Source organism: Homo sapiens, chromosome 12 (assembly GCF_000001405.40).
Source record: "Homo sapiens chromosome 12, GRCh38.p14 Primary Assembly".
NCBI classification, from domain to species: domain Eukaryota; kingdom Metazoa; phylum Chordata; class Mammalia; order Primates; family Hominidae; genus Homo; species Homo sapiens.
Genome location: NC_000012.12, coordinates 44,312,819 through 44,334,220, shown reverse-complemented (window position 1 = coordinate 44,334,220; position 21,402 = coordinate 44,312,819). Strand labels below are relative to the sequence as shown.

The 21,402-nt window shown below is 36.9% G+C and overlaps 1 protein-coding gene and 1 long non-coding RNA gene across 11 annotated transcripts in view; both read right to left on the bottom strand.

Annotated features, from left to right (window-relative positions):
* The window catches only part of TMEM117 (transmembrane protein 117), a 603,307-nt gene that overhangs the window by 64,888 nt on the left and 517,017 nt on the right, over positions 1-21,402 (bottom strand). The gene's annotated exons all lie outside the window — the stretch shown is intronic.
* LOC124902922 (uncharacterized) lies at positions 10,944-21,331 on the bottom strand. The gene is made up of 2 exons (XR_007063281.1): positions 11,978-21,331; positions 10,944-11,809 (listed from the first exon to the last, which is right to left on the bottom strand). It is a non-coding gene; the product is annotated as an uncharacterized LOC124902922 (long non-coding RNA).

Here is a 21,402-nt window from a genome sequence, read left to right as displayed (position 1 = left end):
CTTGACAGTCTTTGTCATGAATAGGATTTGAAATCATACTTAAGAAGCAGAATACAATCTTATTAGGCATGAAGCAAAAGTTTGTCATCAAAAGAGAAGTCCAAGAAAGAACATTATTGTTTACTAAATGCACATTATGTGTCAGCCACCAGGAAATCTATTTTAAAGTCTCTAAAAATTCTATCGAGGTAAATACAATAATTCATTTTATAAATGAGAAAACAGAGGTTTCAGAGAGGTTTAGCATCGTCCCTCAGGATAACAGCAGACAGATTTGAAACCCAAGCTCATATCCATTTAAAGCCCAGTTCTTTCCTTTCATCAACCTCTTCATGGGGTTGATCAGTCAGATAGGTAAACTCTAACCAGGCTCCCCAGACCATGCCATGTCTCTCCCCTTTTCAGTGTTTTCCTATCTCTCTTTACTTCTCCATAATACAAATCACCACAACTTGTACCTATGTGTATTAGTTTGTTCTCATGCTGCTATCAAAAACTGTCCAAGACTGGGTAATTCATAAAAGAAACAGGTTTAATTGACTCACAGTTCCACAGGGCTGGGGAGGCCTCAGGAAACTTACAATCATGGAGGAAGGGGAAGCAAGCATGTCCTTCTTCACATGGTGGCAGGAAGGAGAAGTGCCAAGCAAAGGGGGAAAGCTCCTTATAAAACTATCAGATCTTGTGAGAACTCACTATCATGATTACAGCATGGGGGTAACTGCCTCCATGATCCAATTTCTGCCCACCATGTCCCTCCCACAACAAGTCAGGCTTATGGGAACTACAATTCAAGATGAGATTTGGGTGGGGACACAGCCAAACCATATCAATATGTATTTATTTCTATAATTCATTAGTTAATATCTACTTCTATCACAAGATTCCAGGCTCCAAAAGGGCAGTTCCGGTTTTATCCACCACATTTTATGCCCAGGGCCTGGCATATTGTTTGGGTTTAAAAAGCTCTTATCAAATAAATGACACTACTCCATGCAGTACACTTACTCCATGCATTCTGAAGCAAGAAACCTGGAGCTGTTGATCAAAGGCACTTCCAGTAAGAACAATGCAGTCTCAAATTGGTGAGAGATCTATAAATTGTCTGGGTGGTTTTGACAACACAATTGCCATCAGTTTTGAAATATTAAGGAACACTCTTCAGTAATCATTTACATCTTATCAAACTGTAATAAAAATATGTAATGTGTTAAGAAACTGTCAATGTACAAAGACATTTAAAATCTCTTAATGTCAGTTGCAACAGAATCGGTATAGCTTTATATAAATTATTTTAAAGTAAAAGAGATCTTAAAGATATGGATATTTTCAATCCTTTATATTAATTAAAGCTGTGTACACACACACAGAGAATTATACTTACTATGAAAATGCTGGGAAATGCTGATATTCAATTTAGGACAGTTTATTTCTAGTCAAGAATTTCTCTAAGTGTAGGGGTGTGTGTGTCTGTGTGTGTGTGTGTGTGTGTGTGTGTGTGTGTGTGTAGTAACAGTAGTTTGTTTAATTTGTTTTTATAAGCTCCTAGCTGGAAGCTGGCTCTGAAAAAAAAGTTCATAGACTTATGAAAATTCTATAATAAATTCCATACTTCTCCTAATTCTATGAAATTCTAGAATTGATAGAACTCTCACAGTGCTTGAGAATTTAGATATTAATTATGCCAGGATTATAACTTTTAACTTAGATTACAACAGGGATCTAGAACAATTTTATCAGTGGTCATATTATTATAAAATATTCAAAGGTAGGCTTAAATAAGCCCACTTGGTTTTCTTTTCCTTTGGTCCAGTTGTTTGTCTGATACAGAGCAATTTGGCATAACCCAAAGACTGGCTTTGTTATTCAAAGTAAGAAGATATTTTTTCCACCTTCTAGTAAGAAGTGAAATGCTCTGCACAAACTTATTCCATTCTTACAAAGTGAAGAAGGAAAGCTATTAAAATAAAACTATGCAATTTATTTCTTATAGCAACACTTAGTTTTATTACCCCCATTTTATAGATATGGGAAACTGGAACCCAGAGAGGTTAAATATAGCCAGTGTGCCAGAGCTGGTAACAGATGCAGTCAAGATGTGTCTTCTCTGGGACTTGGTTTACATACATGTAACAGAAAAAGTGGCTGTTCCATCTACATGTGCCTCAGATATGTGATAAATTGATAAATAAGTGTGATGCCTCTAGCACAGAGTTGATGATTGGTAGGCATTCACACATTATTAATAAATCTTATCTTAATTAATTAAATTTATTTTTGGCAGCACAGATAAAACCTATGTGCCCAAGGTGACAAGAATAAAGTTTTCTTCATCAGTCAATGAATTAGCAAGTGTCACAAAGTACTGCTGTGAAATTGGGTGCTTGGGGTACTGAAGGCTAGTAGCAGGCATGGATTCGGTCTCCAGGTATCCACTCCCTAGAGGAAGGGAAAAATTTCCAGTGGACAAGAAAGGGTATTCAAAACTTTGAGCAGTAAAAAATTGTTGAATTCTATAGGAAGCTTGGAAAGATAGTTAATATTGTCCATTAAATGTAAATGAACTTTACTGCATCATTAATTCATGAACAATCACCCTGCTATCTAAACAGTCAACATTTAAGCTTAAATTGATAAACAGTTCCTTCTTATCTTATCATTTGAAGTTCCTTATCTAACAGTTCCTTATCTTATCACTTGAAAGCTCTTTAACTCTTGAGTGTGGAGGCTGTGCACAGAGGAAATAAATATGCCAGCCCAAGAAACACCATCATGGGCTTTTCAGTGACAGTTGGGCCCTGAAGACAACTCTCAGCTTATGAAACACCATGGTTATTAAAGCTGACAAAGCTCTCAGAGGATCTTACCTCTCTTGTGACAATGTCTGATTTGACACCCAGGTTGCTTTATTTACTTTGTAGTGTAGTGCCTTAACTTAAAGAGTCATTTAGATGATCAAAGAGTTTAAATAGTACTACTAAGGTGGCTCACCTGCTGCCAACAAAAAAAAAGAGAAAAAAAGATTTTTTTTTTTTTAAAAAAAGGTCCCACTAGAAGAAATACTAGAGTGGAATTAAAAGCCCTTATTGGAGATCTAAATCAAATATTCAGTGGTCACCTCCACACAGAAATTGACCAAATCATAAATGTTGTGATTCTACACTTTGTTTACATATTGATTCCTGGGAAATCAAATAATTTGGGGTTAGGTTCCCAGACTTGCTAAACAATGTTTTTAAACTTATAGTTTAGCTGAAATACTCTCAGTTTTAAATTAAAATGTAAAATAGTATAAAACAATGCCATTACCTTATAGTAATATAACAAAATAGTGAGACCCTGTTGCTACTTCTATCCAGAAGGAGGTTTCCTTCCATGTGTGAGTGTGCATACACATGGTCAATGTGTGGATGTTGGTGAGGTGGAAACGTTACCTCCATGCACAAGCTGCCTATGGACATAGGATTTCTGCAAATCACATATGATCATTGGTTGTTTTTGCCTTCTAATTTGTCACAAGATTAGTGAGTATTCAATTAGAATCAAGATCTTGGACTTGTCCAATACGGTAGTCACTAGCTACATGTGGCTATTAAACACTTGAAATGTGGACAGGTAGAAATGAGATGTGCTATAAGTATAAAATGCACACTAACAACTTAGTATGAAAAAAATGTAAAATATCTCATCAATAATTTTATATTGATTACAGGTAGAATTATAATATTTTAATTGGGTTAAATATTGGGTTAAATAAAGATGTTATTAAAATTAATGTTACATGTTCCTTTTTTAATGTGGCTGCTAGAAAACTTACCATTACACATGTAGTTCACAATGTATTTCCATTGGACAGAGCTGCCTTAGAGCATAGTCAGGAGGCTTCTAGGGTTATTAGGAGGAACAGCCCCAAATAACTTAGAAATAAAGGTTTTATTTTAACTTACATAAAAAAGTTAACTTTTTTAAAAAAGGTTCCTCATTAAAAAATGCAATCAAAACCACAATGAGATACCACTTCACATTCAGTAAGATGGCTACAATCCAGAAAAATCCAGAAAATAACAGTGTTGGAGAGGATGTGGAGAAATTGGAACCCTTGTGCATTGACAGTGGGAATGTAAACGGTACGGCACTTCCTCAAAAAATTAAAAATAGAATTACCAGATGATCCAGGAATTCTACTTTTGAGTATATTTCCAAAAAAACCCCTGAAAGTAGGAACTTGAACAGACATTTCTATGCCCATCATACAAATGTTCATAGCAGCATTATTCACAAAAGATGGAAGCAACCCAAGTGTCCATGGATAGATCAATGGATAAACAAAATACGGTATATACATACAAAGACATAGTAATTAGCCCTAAAAAGAAAGGAAATTCTGACACCTGCTATGACAGAGATAAACCTTAAAGACATATGCTAAGTGAAGTAAGCCAGACACAATAGGATAAATGCTATATGATTGTTCTTGTACGAGGTACATAGAGTAGTCAAATTTATAAAGACAGAAAGTGGAAGAGTGGTTGCTCAGGCACAAGGGGAGAAAGGAATGGGGAGTTACTGTTTAGTGGACACAGAGTTTCAGAGTCACAAGATAAAAAATTTCTGGAGATGCATCGTGAGGTAGTAGTTGTGTTGAAGAAAACAATATTCTGACACTTTTTAAAATGGTAAGGAAGACTTTATTCAGACCATTGTGATAGATGTCAACACTATCACAACAGGAAGAAAGATTGGGTTAAACACCAAATACGGTACAGACAGCTGGGAATTACAGCTTTATGTACATCTTTCTGAAGACTATTCTGGCTACGTGAAGTTGACCAGTTCAGACTAGTGCTCACCTCCACTGCTTTAAATTCCTTATTTCTTTTAATACAGCTCCAGTTCTTATTAGTTTTGGTGTGTGTGTTTAGTGGGGCAGCCACATCATGGTATTGGTTGATACTGTGCAACAGGATATTTTCACACCTATTGCTGCTGAGCCTCTATTCTGTATGTTTGCACTGTGATTACTCAGAACCCTTACATTCTTCCTATGTAATTTCATATTACATTTGGGCCACTGTTATAGAGCTGTAGCAGTCAAAATATTTTACACAGTGAAACCCTGAGAGATGTTTTATAGGAATCTGCAATAAGATGGAAGGTGTTCTGGTTGTGGTGGGATAGTCCATCTCCCATCCACTACTCACTTCATGGCTTCTGCTTGTCCCTTCTGCGACCCATGTGGCATCTCTGTGGAAGTTAGGGTTCTGAGAAGTATAATTTGTCTTGAGCTATCCAAGACTTGTCTTATTTCTGGTATTACATCAGGTCCCTAAACCTTTAAAGCACCTCATCCTGATTCCAGGAATCATTGATGTAACAAGAGACTTGTTTACTGATAAAATCTATATTTAAGAACTATTTATGACACTTTCTTTTCTGCATTACATTGGTTTTTTTGAATGGTATCTGACTTTCCTGGTAATGAAAAGATCTTTCTGCTACAAGAAGATTCTAGAATTCTGTAGAAACAAGCAAATTGAAATGGTAGAAAAAGATAAAGATTTGAAAAATTTTAAATTTGGGGAAAACATCTAAATTCCAACCAAAGATATCTTTTAGTTATAAGTTATATCAGTGATTGTAACACGTGCTTTGTCTGGCTAGAATTTGCTGCTGTGGCTGATCCGTGACACTAATTTTCTAAAAGTAGCTGAACGAAGGAACTATAAAAGCTAGCAGTTTTCTTGTAGAGTTATTTACTTACTGGCAGAATAAAATGCACTGTTTCTGTAAATCTTCAACCCCTACACAGAACTGAGAATGTTAACAGTGCTGAAATTCTTAATAGTTTTTATCTTCCATGGCAAATGAAGTTAATTCAATTCAATTTGAGTCAGCGCACATTTATGAAAACTCTTACTGCAATACACTGGCCAAATGGTGGCAATACTAAGATATGTACGATGGCTGTGCCTTCAAGGAGTTCATATTCTAGAGGGTTATGCACTGTTTTAGAACTTCCAAAGGAAATCAGCCATAACTAATACAATTAGTATCAACTCTTAGAATGTTCCATAGTGAAAGAATAAAAGGGTCATTAATCAACTGGAGAAAAAGCTAGGGTTTTTGATCAACTAGAGATAACATCAAGCCACATTTGGTTGACAAGTTCACTATTTACAAATTACTTAACTGGCTCACCGCTCCATAGAGAAAAACACATTTGTAATCCGTCACAGAAGTTCAGGCCTGGGTCTGGATGTTTAAGTCACAGTATGTAATGTGGTGGGATGCATTTTCCTTAATGGGCATTCCATGACAGCTCACTAGCCAGCTCAGGAAGTGTGGAGATATGGAATTAAAATATTAGGGGCTTCTGATCTTGGCAACTGTGGAGTTCTTACTGACTCGGAACTTTTCCTGCACAGCACACTTATATCTGAAAGGACTGACTCTAAATGCAATATGCAATACACCTGAGTAACTGATTGCTAGAAAAACTAGAACTCCTGCTTCATATTTCTATGTAACAATAAGAAAAAAAAAGTCATGGAAGTTAAAACTATCCGTTAATGGCCAGAATGAAACATAAATATAACAGATGTTAAAATATATAAAATGTTTATTATCCCAAGATGTTCGGTGGTTAACTATGCACATTCTCTTTTGTTATGCAAAAACATGCAGGCACTTTAATGAACATTATAAGGATTCCTGAGCAAGTAAAAATGAGTGTGTCTTTTAGTTAACATACTGTATAACACCAATCAAATTTTCAATGGAATCATAAACATCTTCTACTTAATCATCTTGGCAAAAATTATGCATTTCGATTCCAAACACAATCCTGTTATTCCTCTACACAACTCAAACAAGTTTAATTCTTTTCCTTTTATTTATCCTCCTAAACACTGTATTACCAAAGATAGTTTTATACCTGAATGTACTATAAATTCATTCAAATTTCAACAATGGCTGAAATATGAATTACAGAGTTGTAATCACCTCTTCAATTTTTAAATATTCACTAATCTTTCCTATTGAATTTTCATTTTTTTTTGAGATGTTAAGGTTCTTAGAAGAGAGGATATGTATTTAATTACCTTTGTAGCCCCAGTACCTACAGTATAGCCAATAAATATTAAATACATAAAAATATAGGTAAATATATACAAATATAAGTACTTTATCAAGTTTTTTAATGACTTATCTTTTGTATTAGGTCAAATTGGTGACATTCTGCAGAGAGGCTGTTGAGAAACTGACTTCCAAGGCCTCCGCCTTGACTAGAGCTTAACATACGGCTCAGGCTAGAAAGAAGGAGGCTTCAGTATATAGGTAGCCTGTGAAACTCTACAGTTTGAAAAGGAGGACAGTGTGAACCTACTGAATTTTAAGAAACATAGAACCATTCATTTGGGCGACACATTTGGTGAATAGTGTGGTGAAGTTCCCCAATGAGGCCTGGATTGCAAAGGGCCTCATAGGACATTGAATGTTTTAAAGACAACAAAAGCCACAGAAGTTTTCCAAATAGGGGAGTGATATGATCAGAGCTGTTTTATAAAGGAAAACTCACAGTGGAAGATGGATTTGATGCCCTGAATTTCAGCACATTGCTCTTCATATGATCTGATGCAACATAGAATAGCTACATTCTCTTTTCCATATGACAGTCTTTCAAATACATGAGGGTAGAGAGCATGTTCCTACTGAAAGTCTATGCTTCAAGCTAAACACCTCCCTTTCCTCCATCAGTCCTCTAATATCATTCTCTAGGTCTCTCAAGATCCTGGATGTTGGTCTCTGGACACACTTTCCAGTTCTTCACTGTCTCATTTGAAACACAGAACATTCAGCTTAACATAAAAAGCAGATATCACAAAGAAAAAGATTGATACATTTAAAACAACTGTATGTTGAACACACCCTCTCATAAATTAAAATATGGATTTCTGCATTAATAACATATTTGGGCTTTCTAACATTCAGAAGCCAGGGTTCTTTTTTTTAAATAAAAAACAAAAAACAAAAAACAAAAACAAAAACAAAAACAAAACCAGGGTCTCACTCTGTTGCCCAGGCTGCTGGAGTGCAGTGTGGCAGGATTTTGGCTCACTGCAACCTCTGCCTCCCAGGTTCAAGCAATTCTCCCACCTCAGCCTCTGGAGGAGCTGGGATTCCAGGCGCACGCCACCACACTTGGCTAATTTTTGTATTTTTTGGTAGAGATGGGGTTTCACCATGTTGGCCAGGCTGGTCTTGAATCCCTGACCTCAAGTAGATCTGCCCCCCTTGGACACCCAGAGTGCTGGAATTATAGGCGTGAGCCACTGCACCCAGCCTTCACATGCCAGAGTTCTATCCTGACCTTTTTTATATGTTTTATATAAAATTTTCTATGAGCAGTGTTCAAGAATTTGTATACACGCATGGACACACCCACTCCACACCACATACAGACATAAACACACACATATCAGGTGATTCTTGGGTAGATTCAATCTTGAAAACAACTGTTGTAAACAATCTCAACAAATAAAACTCAGAACAAATATGTGTAACATATATAACAGGAAAAGGGGTAATTTCTTTAATGTGCAAGGAGCTATTACAAGACAATGAGAAAAATATTAACCATCCTAAGATAAAATTATGTAAAGGATGTGAACAACCAATTCACAAAAAGAATAAATATAAATAGCTATAAATAATATAATAAATAATATAAATATAAATAGTTGAGAAAAAATATCTCCACTGCACATCTTTCGTCCCTTGTCCTCAATTTTGAAATAGAAAAGCTCTGAAAATAAAGATTTTTCATCATTCATTCAGCAGCAAAACTGAACTGGACCTGATGGCAAAACCTGATAATAAGGGAGAATATGAATGGCCAATGTCTGCCCCCACTTAGTGTGGATATTCATAGTTTTCACTGTAGAAAGATGAAGGGGCTTGTTTGTTTAAAGCTTTTAAATCTCAGGTCCCCTGAGGTGGTTGTACAATATGCAGTTCTATATTACCTTGCTAAAAATCTAAACAAAATCCAAATTTTAAAAGAATCATTGAACTAGAGATCATGGACATGTGTAATTAAAGAAATGCATGTCAAAATGAAATATTCTTTTTTGTCAATCAAATTGGAAACTACTAATATAAATACAGTCCTCTTTGTTGGTTTAAGGAATGGTTGCCTTTTTACTCTTACTATGGAATGAGAGATGAAATAACCACTAGAGAAAAATTTGGCTTAGCTTATTATAAGTCATAATGTTCAACCAACAATTCCACTTCCAGGAATTTATCTCAAGAAAATAATCACCATATCTTGTTCATTGCTGCACCATAAATAGTAATAAAATGGAAACAAATATTTAACAATAGAGAATCTGTTAATACAGTTACAGATAAAATTACAATGCATTCATTAAAATGATCTTGGGAAAGAATAGTTAATGACATGAGAAATGTTAGCAACATATTGTGACCTGAAAAAGCAGGTTTGCAAAACAGTAACATAGAAGATAATTCTATTTTTGTAAAAATATATATGAATTATGTGCACAGATTGAAGCCTAGAATGATGGATTTATCCATAAGGTTGTATCAGGGTCATTTTTGTTTCCTTTTTACTATTTAGTCTTTCAATTTTTTTTCCCAAAGAACCTGTAATGTTTTTGTTACTTAAAATGTCAACACATTTTTAATGTAGTACCCTGAACTCAACATAATTCTGCTGAAATATTCTGACCATGAAAAAGTAACATGAAGTTATCATTTCCCTTACCCTGGACACTTCCGTTAATACAGCCCAAGTTTACAGTATAAAGGATTAACTATAATTTAGTGCAGTGTAAACAGGCTCTAATATGTTATAGAGCATAGTAATGATATTGAAGATGGTGAAAATAGTACTACTAATAATAGTATCATCATAGGAAAAGAAGGGGAAAGAAAAGAAATTAATGAAATTACAGGCAAGCAGAAGTCAACTTGCCAACAACTCTCCAAAGCAATCCTTTCATATGTCTCACCTCCTTTTCCTTCCATAATTATATGAGAATGGCTCAAGAATGCAAAAGCTTTCTGATTTTAAAAGATGGGGCAGGTTCTACCTCAAGATAACAATTTGAGATACTATATTTACTTCTCTTTTCTCTCTAAATACCATTAAAATTATTGAAATGATGTCAAAATGAGGTGAAGAAAGAGGATCAGTAATGAGGCAGGAAAAAAATAGAGTATACCACAAATAGCTCCTATATATGTAAATGGTTCTAGAGCACAGCAAAAGACAGAAGGGCTTCAGCTTATTTATAAGACTAACATAACCATGATTTTAAAAATTGCAGGAAAAAAAGAATACACACACCTCATTTATAAATATAGATGCAAAACTGGATTCAGAAGTATCTTAAAAGAATAATGCAGTACCACAAAGTGGGACACACCGTAGTAATGTAAGTTTGGGATAAGGTAAGAAATCTATTCTTAAAGTTTGTTACATTAATAGTTCAAAGTAGAAAACATACTTAAAGAAAGCACATGAAATTACCTAGAATGTAAAAAGGTGCTCTATAAAATTCATCATAAATTCCTGATAAAACAATAAGTTATTTTCTTAATGTTTTAGCAGGTACCAACAGCAAAAGTGATACTACATGGTCAAATGGGTAAGAAAAAACCCTAAAACCTCAATAAAGAAATAGGATGAGCCCGTGAGCTGGATGTTCATAAAACAATATGAATATTCATCAAGCATCTAATAGAGGAAATAAGATCCATCTAACTAATAATAATAAAAAAAGAGCAATAGGGTATGTTTGACTATTGGCTAGCAAAAGATTTAAAAAATCAGTTAACACTCAGTGTTGGGAAAGATGTGGAGAAAATCAAGTGTATTAGTTTCCTATTCCTGCTGTAACAAAGTACCACAAACTTAGTGCCTGAAAACAACAGAACTTTATTATTTTAAAGATCTAGAGGACAAAAGTTCAAAATGGGTCTCACTAGTCTAAAATCAAGTTGTTGACAGGGCTGTGTTCCTTCTGGAGGCTCTAAGGAAGAATGTGCTTCTTTGCCTTTTATTGATTGTAGAGGTCACCTACAGTCTCTGGCTTATGGCCTTCACTCCTACCTTTAAAGCCAGCAATGTAGGGCCAAGTCCTTCTCACACTGCTATCTCTCTGGTTGTCTTCTGCTTCCCTCTTCCTCTTTTAAAGACTCCTGTGATTATATTGGGCCCTCCTGGATAAGGAAATTTAAGGAAATCTCCCATTTTAAAGTCAGCTGATTAGCAAACCTAATTCTAGTATAACCTTAATCCCCCTTTGCCATGCAACTTAACATATTTGCAGGATCCTGGGAGTAGGGTATGAGTATCTTTTTTGGTGGGGGGCCGGCCAGCGGGGAGCACATTATTCTGCCTACTATACCAGGTATTTCCAGTCACTATTGGTGTGAGTGTACAGTATATTCTTACAACCTATCTGGCAGTTTGGCATTAAAATGTCCATGTAGGTTACTTTGCATCGTGAGACTAAAATTAAATATTAATTAGATTTGCAAGTTCCTTTTTATAGCATAGTTTTAAACCATATCTCAAAGACGTTCAAAAATAGTTACATTGGCTCTCTTTCCTGAAATGTAGTGGTGATGACCTACTATTCATGGTGTCCTCAAGCAAATTCCAGGCCATGCAGAGATGAAAGTAATTTTCTAAAAACATTTTTTAGAATTGGGCTTACTCTTACTGATAGATAAGGGAATCAGGAAACCTTTTAGTAGCGAAATGAAGCTTTCTGCAACTCTGAGAAGAAAACAGAGAGGGTGTATAAACACTCTAGATCTCTGGGAATCAATTTTAAAAAGATGTTCTATCATTCATTTACATTTTTGCCTCGTTAGGTCAGAAAATACACACTTTATGACCTAAGGAATCCTAGAGGTCAAAAGAATATGTCTCAGAGCTACTCACCACGCAGATGCAGAGAGAACTAATACCCGAGCCATGCTACGAAGTAACAACATCTGGGTAGATATCCATGGACAGAGCTGGTTGGCCGTTAGATATCTCTAACATAGCTTCTCTGACATAAGTCGCCAATTCCTTTTATTCAAATGAAATTACGCCCTTGTTACACTTCATTCTCTTTCTCCCATCCCTACCCAGGTCATTATGGCTAGAGAATTTTCCAGTTTAGAAAAAAATCTCATTTTATGAGAATCCCTGTTTCAAGTTCTCTCATTTTATTGTGAAAGCCTACAAACTATCATTCTCTTTCCATCAAATAAACCATGATTTTCATTTTATTACAGAGAGCATAGTAAATGCATATTTAAAGATACATTTGCCACTAAGCTTGAAACCTTTAGTGATTCTCTATCTGGATATACAATACACACTAATGTTATTAATATTGAGTAGCTTGCAGTTGAGAATACATAGTTGTTATTTTTCTAAATTAATAATCTATGACTGAGCTCAAGATTTATGAGCTCTTAAAAGTTGTACTTCGTTAGGCATAGTTTTTTCACCCATCATAATATAAGTTTTTACTCCTAATGTGAAAGTCTGTGATTGCAATTTTCCATCTCTCCATTCTCAAGGAAGCACCTCTGGGTGGGAGTCACCAGATTCATCCCTGTCGGCAGTAGCAAAATGAATCCAGATTTTATCATAATATTTTTACCTCTTTTCCTTCTTCTAGGGATTAGGAAAGACAACATGGGGTCTGCCATGTTCAGAATCTCTTCCTGGTGACTTTGCATTCAGAATTTTCCTAGCTTGCTTCATAATACACGGAAGAACAATCATACCCCCTGATTTTGCTACTCTTTGCAGCTGTCTCTAGGAGATATGCCAATGGCACGCATAGAGGATACCCATTTCAACTAAAAGAGTTACCAGAAGAAAAGCTGGGCTCAGAGATGTATAAAGGAGTCAGCACAAACAATCTACTCTGGGTCTATGATGATTGTGCTTTGTAAAATACTATGAAAAGTGAATTACATCATAAACACTCCTACAGCTTACAGTAAATTTAATGCAGGAATTGTCTAATGTCAACAGGCTTTAAATAATCCCTGTAAAACAAATCTTTCAGTTTCTGATCAATTCAAATACAATTATCACATAGAAAATTTATCTTAAAAATAGCTCACACAAGTACATTGATCCGAAATTCTAAAGAAATGAAAAAATAAAATTGCTCCCAGTTGAGAATACTCTAAAATCTTTTCTTTAAAATGTGAATATTGAGTCCCAATGACCTGAAAGGAACTAGTTTAGGTGCTGGTCTAAATTCAGCCAACATCTGTTGAATATTCTCTGTGTCTGACGTGAACTATTCTAGGCAATTCTTACAACTTTTTAGTAAAACAATTAAATACATCCAAACAAATTTAAATGGAAGAGTAAAATAACTCTAATCGAAATATTTAAAAATTGCCATGAACAAATAATAAAAGAAGCACTAAAGTTTATTTGAGAGAGGCAGATGAGACTTCACAGAGAGGACAGCATATAAGCTGAGGGTTGGATGGCTGAGGGCAGTGAAGCACGCACACTGGGGAGATGCCCTTGTATTGCACATGCAAAGGTCTGTACTATTTTAAAAAGGCAGAATTCGGTAATCAACAAGTATTTCAAAATTTAATAGAGTGTAAAATGCAAGAGGTGGGGGTAGGAGAGGGAAGGTGGTGATAATGACCAGGAAGAGAAGGTCAGAAGCTAGGCATGAGCTAGATGATAAAAGGCCTTGTATAGATGACATGCAAATGAATTATTATTTAAAGAATTTTGAAGATAAGATTTTGGTGTTAAAAAGATTACTTTGGAATAATGGAGTAAGACCAAAAGAAGAGAAAGGGCTTTGTACTAATATAGGCAAAAGTTGATGGTAACATGAACTGTAAGGTATAGGTGATAAGAGTCTAAAGGAGGGGCAGATTCAAAAGATATTTGGCAAGAAGAATATATAGGCATGATGGCTGACTGGAAGATAAGTAGGAAAGAGAAATCTTGGATTTTTAAAAGGTTTTTTGGTGTGAGTGACTGGATAGATAACTGTTTGAAGGGTTGATGATAGCTTGGTTTTAGACATGATGAACCAGAGATGCCCACGTAAACATCCAGGTGGATAGAGCTGGTTGCCAGTTAGATATCCAGGTCTGAAATTCAGCAGAAGTCTTAGGGCTTGAGGAAGATTTGAGAAAGACTAGCCTATTGGGAGGCTGTTAGGCCATGGCAGTGAACAGAACTGCCTTAAAAAATAACTTGGATGAGAAGATAAGGAAACACAGGGCAGAATCACAGAGTATGTATAATGGACAGCTAGAGGAAGGAAATTTGACAAACTGGACTGGAAAGAAAGAGACATATAGTTAGGTTTTGAGCCAAGAAAAAAAATAGGTAATTTTATGAAAACCAAAGAATGAATTTTAAATATTGAATTAACTGGTAGTCAGAAGACAAAGTGAATGCAGCCACCAGATCTTATTTCTACACTCATTTAATAAATGTAAGAACTTAGCACTTTTGTATTTACGTCATCAGAAAATGCATTATTTTTCTTCCAAGACAGCGGATTAGAAGCTTGCAGTGTGTCTTAGCCACTTGGAAACAGCAAAATCATACATTTTAATTCAAATGCATGAATTTTAATTCAAAAGGGAAAACGGGAACCCATTAAGACAGTGAAGGACGTCCCAGACCCCAGGGAGGAGAAGGTGGGCAAGCAGCCCCTGGGAAGGCATTTGGTAAATAAAAGTGAGTGAAGACCCAGAACAGGGGGTGGGCAGAGAGCCTCCCTCTGTGAGTCACTTTTCCAATGGGGATCCATGCAACCCAGGACAAGAAAGAGCATTTTGTTTCTCCCAAGCCTTGGGACTAGCTTGGGGTGAGGCTTGGGGACATTGAGAGGAAAAGATACCAGGAATTCCTGCAGGCATTTTCCCAGACTCAGGATGGAGAGCAGGATGCCATTTTTAATCCAGGTGCATACAAAGTCAGTAATTCTTTGACAACCCAGCAGCATGGCCATGCAGGCATTATAGTCTTGGATCAGAGATTGCAGAGCTTGCTCTGGTGCTGAGTAGAGGCCTCCATAGCCAGAATTGAATGGTGCGTGTGGACAGTGCCCCAGTTGTAGGTGCTGGAATTGTGCTCCCCGTGTGTAGTTCTAGGGTGAGAGGGAAGCTGCTACAGCGACAGTTTCTCTTGAGCAATGAGACTTGTAGCCAGGCCTAGCTTGGCCACCTGGAAATGGCCTGTGTGTGACCTTGCTGGGAGCTCCATCCTGCTCACCTGAGATCATGGTGCAGGGGACACTCTCTGCTCCATGCCTAGGCAGATTTCCAGGCATTTGGAGCACCCACTTACATGAATTTGCATCCTGAGTCATCCCACCCTCTCTGTGCCTAGATTGTGGTGCAGCAGAGACCTCTCTGCTCCATGCCTAGGCAGTCAGAGCACCCACTCTCCTGGATCAGTAGGCTGAGCTGCCCCACCCTTCCTGTGCATAGACTGGGATGCAGTGGGGTCCTCTCTGCTCCATACCCTGGCAGATTTCTGGCCATTGAGAACACCTGCTCTTCTGGATTACCAGCCTGAGCCACCCCACCTTTCCTGTGCATAAATTGGCTTGTAGCAGGATTCTCTCCACTTCATGCCCAGGCAAATCTCCATGCAGATGGAGCACCCTGTTGCCTGGATCAGCAACCTTAGCCACCCTACCTTTCCTGTGGATAGATTAGGGTGTAGCAGGGCCCTCTCTGCTACACATCCAGGCAGAACTCCAGGTATTCAGAGCACCTACTCTCCTGGACTAGTAGCCTGAGCCATCTCACCTTAACGTACATAGATTAGAGTGTAGCAGGGCCTCTTCTGTTCCACGCATGCAGGCAGATCTCCAGACAATCAGAGCACTTCCTATCATGGACCAGCAGCCTGAGTCTCCCACCCCTCCTGTGCATAGATTGTGATGTAACAGGACCCTCTCCACTCCATGCTTAGGCATATCTCCAGGCATCTGAAGTACCCCCTTGCCTGGGTCAGTGGCCTGAGTTGCCCCACACTTTCTGTGGAGAGACTGTGGTGCAGTACGGCCCCCTATGCTACATGCCCAGGAAGATCTCCAGGTGCATCCACTCTACTGGATTAGGAGTTCGGGCCGTCACCCCTCCCCATGCAGAGAACTTAGGGCCAAGCAGGTTACCAAGCTCCATGCCTAGACATACCTCTGGGCGCTAGGTGGCCACGCATTAGGTGCTGGTGCTAGTACCTGCCATTGAGTGGCTGTAGGTGAGCCTGCCCAGTCCAGGCCCTACTCTCTTGGTTCCCTCATGTGGTGGTGAGTAGGGAGCTAAGACCACTGTGCACTAAACAGTTCAGCCCATTGCCTGCAGCATCAGAGACCTCCCAGTAAACAAGGTTGAAATATATACCCGTTCACGTTGGCCAGAGCTGACTTTTACCCATAAGTGCCATCTACTGGCCTGTAGGTAGAACCACACAGTCCAACATAAAACCAGCTGACAGAAGTGCATAGGGCTATAGAAGCAAAGCCAAGGCCAGGCTGGTGGATCACCTGAGGTCAGGAGTTCGAGACTAGCCTGGCCAACATGGTGAAATCCTGTCTCTACTAAAAATACAAAAAATTAGTCAGGTGTAGTGGCAGGCACCTGTAATCCCACCTACTTGGGAGGCTGAGGCAGGAGGATTGCTTGAACCCTGGAGGCAGAGGTTTCAGTAAGCTGAGATTGCGCCATTTGCACTCCAGCCTGGGCAACAAGTGTGAAACTTTGTCTCAAAAACAAAAACAAAAACAAAAAAATGAAGCAAAGCCAAAAGACCCTAGCCAACATTCTTTACAGTTACACCCACTAGGGAGAAAAACAAAGAAAAATTAAAAAAAAAAACATATATATATATATAATAGGGAAAGAAAGGGGAAAATCCTATTCACATGAAAATATTAATAATTACAAAAATTAGAAGTGCCAGTGTCTCCAGATGAGAAAGAACCAGTGCAACTTTTCTCATACCATGAAAAATCTGAATATTGTGACTCCACCAAAGGATCACACTAGATCTCCAGCAATGGTCCCTGACTAAAACAGACACTCAGAAATGACGGATTAAGAATGCAAAGCTTGGATTGCAAGGAGGCTCAACAAGATTCAAGACAAGGATGAAAGCCAAAAAAAAAAAAAAAAAGAAAAAGAAAAAGAAATTTCTGAAGAAATCCAGGAAATGAAGAAGGAGATAAACATCTTTAAAGAAAATCAGTCAGAGCTTCCAGGATTGAAAAATTCAATTAAAGAATTTCAAAATACAATTGAAGGTTTTATCAATATACTACACCAAACAGAAAAAGAATTACAGAGCTAGAAGACTAGTCTTTTGAATTAATCAAGTCAGACTAAAATAAAGAAAAAAAATTTTAATGAACAAAGTCTGAAAAATATGGGATTATGTAAAGCAAACAAATTTATAAATTACTGGCATTCCTGAGAGAGGAGGAGAAAAAGTAAACAATCTGGAAAACATATTTGAAGCAATAGTACAAAGAGTGTCCCTAGTATTTTTAAAGAGGTAGACACCCAGGAACAAGAAATCCAGAGAACACCTGTGAGATACCATACAAAAAGAACATCATCAAGGCATATAGTCATTAAACTGCCCAAGGACAATGCTAAAGAAAAAATCTTAAAGGCAGCTAGAGAAAAAGTTCAGACCATGCACAAATGGAATCCCATCAATTTAAAAGCATATGTCTCAGCTGAAATATTACAAGCCAGAAGAGATTGGGGGCCTATTTTCAGCATCCTTAAGGGAAAGAAATTTCAACCAAGAATTCCATATCCCATCAAACTAAGCTTTATAAGCAAAGTAAAAATACAATGTTTTCCAGACACCCCCAACAATAAAAAAACGCTAAGAGAATGTATCTCCATTAGACCAGGCTTAAAAGAGGTCCTTAAGGGAATTTTAAAAATGGAAACAAAATAACAATACCTGCTACCACAAAAATACATGTAAGTCTATAGTTCACAGACCCTATAGAGCAATTATATAACAGGAACTACAAAGCAACCAGTTAATAATTTCACCATAGGATTAAAACCACACATGACAATATTAACCTTGAGTGAAAATAGTCTAAATGCTTCACTAAGAAGACACAGAGAGTGGTAAACTGGATTAAAAAGTCTGTCTCCTGTCTTCCAGAGACCCCTCTCACAGGAAATGACACTTACAGGCTCAAAGTAAAGAACTGGAGAAAGAAAGATCTATCATGAAAATGGAAAACAAAAAAGAACAGGGGTTGCTATTTTTATATCATTGCTATTTTTATATCAGATAAAACAGACTTTAAGCCAGCAATAATAAAATAGGAAAAAGAAGGACATTATATAATGATGAAAGGTTCAATTCAACAAGAAGATTTAATAATCCTAAGTATATGTGCACCCAACATCGGAGCACCCACATTAATAATACAAATACTCCTATATCTATGAAAAGCCTTAGCCCACCACACAATAGTGCTCAGCCATAAAGCAAGTCTCAACAGATTAGAAAAAATAGAAATCATACCCACCATATGCTCTGACCACAGTGGAATACAAATAAAATCAAAACCAAGAAGGTATCTGAAAACCACACAATTACTTGGAAATTAAACTACTTTTCTCTGAACAATTTTTGGGTAAACAATGAATTTAAGGCAGAAAGTAAAAAATTCTTTGAAAGAAACGAACAGTCAACACAACATAGCAAAATCTCTTGGATGAAGCAAAAACAGTGTTGACAGGAAAATTTATAGCTCTAAACATCTACTTCAAGAAGTTAGGAAGATCTCAAATTTACAGTTTGGTATCACATCTAGAGGAACTAGAAAACTAAGAATAAACTAACTCCAAAGCTAGCAGAAGAAAAGAAATTATTAAAATAAGAGCAGAATTGAATGAAATTCAGACCCCAAAATCCATACAAAGCATCAATGAACCCAAAAGTTGGCTCTCTGAAAGACGAAACAAGACAGATAGACTGCTAGCTAGATTAACAAATAAAAGAGAAGATCCAAAAAAGTGCAATTTGAAACAACAAAGGTGATATTACAACCAATTCCACAGAAACACAAAAGATTCTCAGAGAATATTATGAACACCTCTATGCACACAAACTAGAAACTCTAGAAGAAATGGATAAATTCCTGGAAACACACAAGCCCCAACAGTGAATCAGGAAGAAATTGAAACATTGAACATACCAATACCCAGTTACAAAATTGAATTAGTCAAAAAAACCTACATACAAAAAAGCTCTGGATCAGATGGATTCACAGCTGAATTTTACTACATGTACAGAGAAGAGCTCGTACTAATTCTATTGAAACTATTTCAAAAAATGGAGGAGGATGGGCTCCTGCCTAACTCATACTATGAAGCTAGTATCACCCTGATACCATAAACTGATAAAGGCACAATGTAAAAAGAAAACTAGCCTGTAGTCCCAGCTACTCAGGAGGCTGAGGCAGGAGAATCCCTTGAACCCAGGAGGCGGAGGTTGCAGTGAGCTGAAATTGCGCCACTGCACTCCAACCTTGGCGACAGAGTGAGACTTTGTCTTAAAAAAAAAAAAAAAAAGAAGAAGAAACTACAGGCCAATATCCCTGATAAACATAGACACAAAAATCCTCAAAAAAAGAAAAAAAACTGCCAAATGAAATCCAGCAGCATATCAAAAAGTTAAGTCACCACAATCAAGTAGGCTTTATTCCTGAGATGCCAGTTGGTTCAACACACAAAACTAAATAAATGTGATTCACCACAAAACCAGAATTAAAAACCAAAACTGTATGATCATCTTAATAGAAGTATAAAAGGCTTTTGATAAAATCCAACCTCCCTTCATTATAAAACCTCAACAAATAAGCCCTTGAAGGAACATACATCAAAAAAATAAGAGTCATCTATAAAAAATCTACAGTCAACATCATTCTGACTGGGCAAAAGCTGGAAGTATTCCCCATGAGAACTGGAACAAGACAAGGATCCTGTTACCAACCCTATTCAACATAGTGTTGGAAGTCCTAGCCAGAGCAATCAGGCAAGAGAAAGAATAAAACGCATCAATAGGAAAAGAGCAAGTCAAACTATCTCAGTTTTGCAGACAATATGATTCTATGCCTAGAAAACCCTAAAGCCTCTGCCAAAGGCTCCTAGACCAGATAAACAACTTTAGTAAAGTTTCAGGACACAAAATCAGCATATAAAAATCAGTACCATTTCTATACACCAAAGAGGTTCAAGCTGAGAGCCAAATCAAGGACATAATCTCACTTACAATACCCACCCACACAAAAAAGTACCTAGGAATACAACCAACTAAGGATATAAAATATCTCTACAAGGAGAACTACAAAACACTGCTGAAAAAAATCAGAGATGACACAAATGGAAAAACATTCCATGCTCATAGACTGAAAGAATTAATGTCATTAAAACGTCCATACTGCTCAAAGTAATCTGCAGATTCAACACTATTCCTTCAAACTATCAATGTCTTTTTTCACAGAATTATAAAAAATTATTCTAAAACTCATATTGAACCAAAAGAGAGCCTGAATAGCCAAAGCAATGCTAAGCAAAAAGAACAAAGCCAGAGGCATCACACTACCTGACTTCAAACTACACTACATGGCTACAGTAATCAAAACAGCATGATATTGGTACAAAAACAGACAGACAGAATAATAGATCTGAAAAGTGAACCCAGAAACAAGCTGCACACCTACAGCCATCTGACCTTTGACAAAGTCAACAAAAATAAGCAATAAGGAAAGAACTCCATATGTAATAAATGGTGCTGAGATAACTGGATAGTCATATGCAGAAGAATGAAACTGTCCCCCTACTTTTCACCATATAGAAAAACTAACTCAAGATGGGATTAAAGATTTAAATGTAAAATCTCAAGCTATAAAAATCATAAAAGAAAACCTAGAAAATAACATTGTAGATAACAGGATTGGCAAAGAACTTATGACTAAGTCCTCAAAAGCAACTGCAACAAAGCCAAAAATTGACAAGTGAGACCTAATTAAATAAAGAGCTTTCGTACAGCAAAATGAAAAGCAGAGTAAACAGACAGCTCACAGTATTGGAGAAAATATCTGCAAATTATGCATCCAACAGAGGTTTAATATCCAGAATCTGTAATATACTTAAACAACTTAACAAGCAAAACACATATAATCTCATCTAAAAGTGGGCAAAAGAACATGAACAGACACTTCTCAAAAACAAAAGACATACAAGGAGCTAACAAGCTTATGAAAAAATGCTCATCATCACTAATCATCAGAGAAATGCAAATCAAAACCACAATGAGAT